Source organism: Homo sapiens, chromosome 1 (genome assembly GCF_000001405.40).
Source record: "Homo sapiens chromosome 1, GRCh38.p14 Primary Assembly".
NCBI classification, from domain to species: domain Eukaryota; kingdom Metazoa; phylum Chordata; class Mammalia; order Primates; family Hominidae; genus Homo; species Homo sapiens.
The window spans coordinates 212,160,029-212,161,823 of NC_000001.11; the positions used below are offsets into that span (position 1 = coordinate 212,160,029).

The window sequence follows — 1,795 nt, forward strand, 5'->3', positions numbered from 1 at the left end:
AATTAGCAGGGTGGGGCGGTGGGCACCTGTAGTCCCAGCTACACGGGAGGCTGAGGCAGGAGAATGGCGTGAACCCGGGAGGCGGAACTTGTAGTGAGCCGAGATTGCGCCACTGCACTCCAGCCTGGGCGACAGAGCCAGACTCCGTCTCAAAAAAATGAAGTAATTAATTTTAAAAAAAAGTCTCTTTTATCCTTTCCAATAATGCTTTGTGGTAGATATTATTTCTTCCACTTCATAGACAAGAAATGTGAGGCTCAGAGAGGATAAATAGCTTGCCCAAGGTCACACAGCTGTGTGTAGATCCAGTTTACAAACTCAGGTTTCTGTTACTCAAAAGTCCACACATCTCAGCTCTGAAGCTGAAGCTGTTTTTCTCTATCGCTGGGCATGTAGTAGGTATTCAGCAAATGACTCCTTTGAAGTAGATTTAGTTCTCATGCTCCTGTACTCTCCATGCATTTCTATTATAACTCTATTCTAGTCCCAAGCACTTGGTAGAATAAATATATTTCATTCATTCCAAACAGGCCTTAAAGTAGGATAATTTTGTGTTTCTGAGTGACAGGGACTATACCCTACCAACTTTTTTTTTTTTTTTTTTTTTGAGACGAGTTTCACTGTTGTTGCCCAGGCTGGAGTGCAATGGCGCGATCTTGGCTCACTGCAACCTTTGCCTTCCAGGCTCAAGCGATTCTCCTGCCTCAGCCCCCCGAGTAGCTGGGATTACAGGCGCCGGCCACCATGCCCTCTTGTTCGTTTGTTTGTTTGTATTTTTAGTAGAGACAGGGTTTCGCCATGTTGGCCAGGCTTGTCTCGAACTCCCGACCTCAGGTGATACACCCGCCTTGACCTTCCAAAGTGCTGGGATTACAGGCGTGAGCCACCGCGCCCGGCCCCCTACCAACTTTTTACCCTAACATACAGTAAGTGTTAACACCTGTGAGTGTGAGTGTGAGTGTGTGAAGGTTAACCTGGAAGCATTGTGCTTGATGGCCTAGAAAGGGAACAAAGAAAATCTTGGCTGCAATGGTCAGGGCTATTTTATTCTTCCCAGTACTAGTAGTGCCTGGCACATTAGAAGTGCTCACACACATTGGCTGAATAAATGAAGAATCCTGCATTCATTCACCCTAGTTCTAGCTGTAACAATAGAATCCTATTCACTCTGGGTAGTTCTAGAGCCAGTTAGAGATATTGTATTGCATTCTGGAGACCCTCCAAGTCCAAGGAATTTCACCGTGTCTACAGAATACCCCTGTCTCCAAAGAAACTACATTTCAGTTCCAAGTAGTTGTACCACAGTCATAAACACAACCACAAAGGAGAAATGGAAACAAACCACCAAAACACTGTGACTGGGAGGCCCAACTCCTCTCAACCACTGAAGAGCAGTTTCTAAACAAACACAAAGGGAATTGTACCTGCTCTGGGTCCTGCCAAAAGAATAGAAAGCAAACCCAAGAAAGTCAGACTGGCACCAAGTGAGAACCCAACAGGGCCAAATAGGAAGCTCACTGGGGGAGGAGAGATGCCAGGATTAGTGGTGGTAGGAGGTTGACCTAATTCCACTGTGTTCAAGGGATATTACTGCCTGGTCCAATGAGTCATACAGCTCAGGCATGTCATATCATTTTAACCACAGATAATAAGAATAACAACCTCCTTTTATTGAGTGATTACTAAGTACCGGCCCTATGCTAAGCACTCTTTACACATTAGCTCACTTTTGCTAAGACTGGGCAGGGAGGTAATCAAGTCGCAGGAGTCATCCAGGTAGGCAAAAGAAATATGA

The 1,795-nt window shown here is 45.3% G+C and overlaps 1 annotated feature.

Annotated features, from left to right (window-relative positions):
* Positions 1,205-1,314: an enhancer, noted in NCBI's record as "active region_2498". NCBI's record gives its function as "activates an Ori minimal core promoter by ATAC-STARR-seq in GM12878 lymphoblastoid cells {active_cell/tissue: GM12878}" and the evidence as "EXISTENCE:reporter gene assay evidence [ECO:0000049][PMID:35858748]".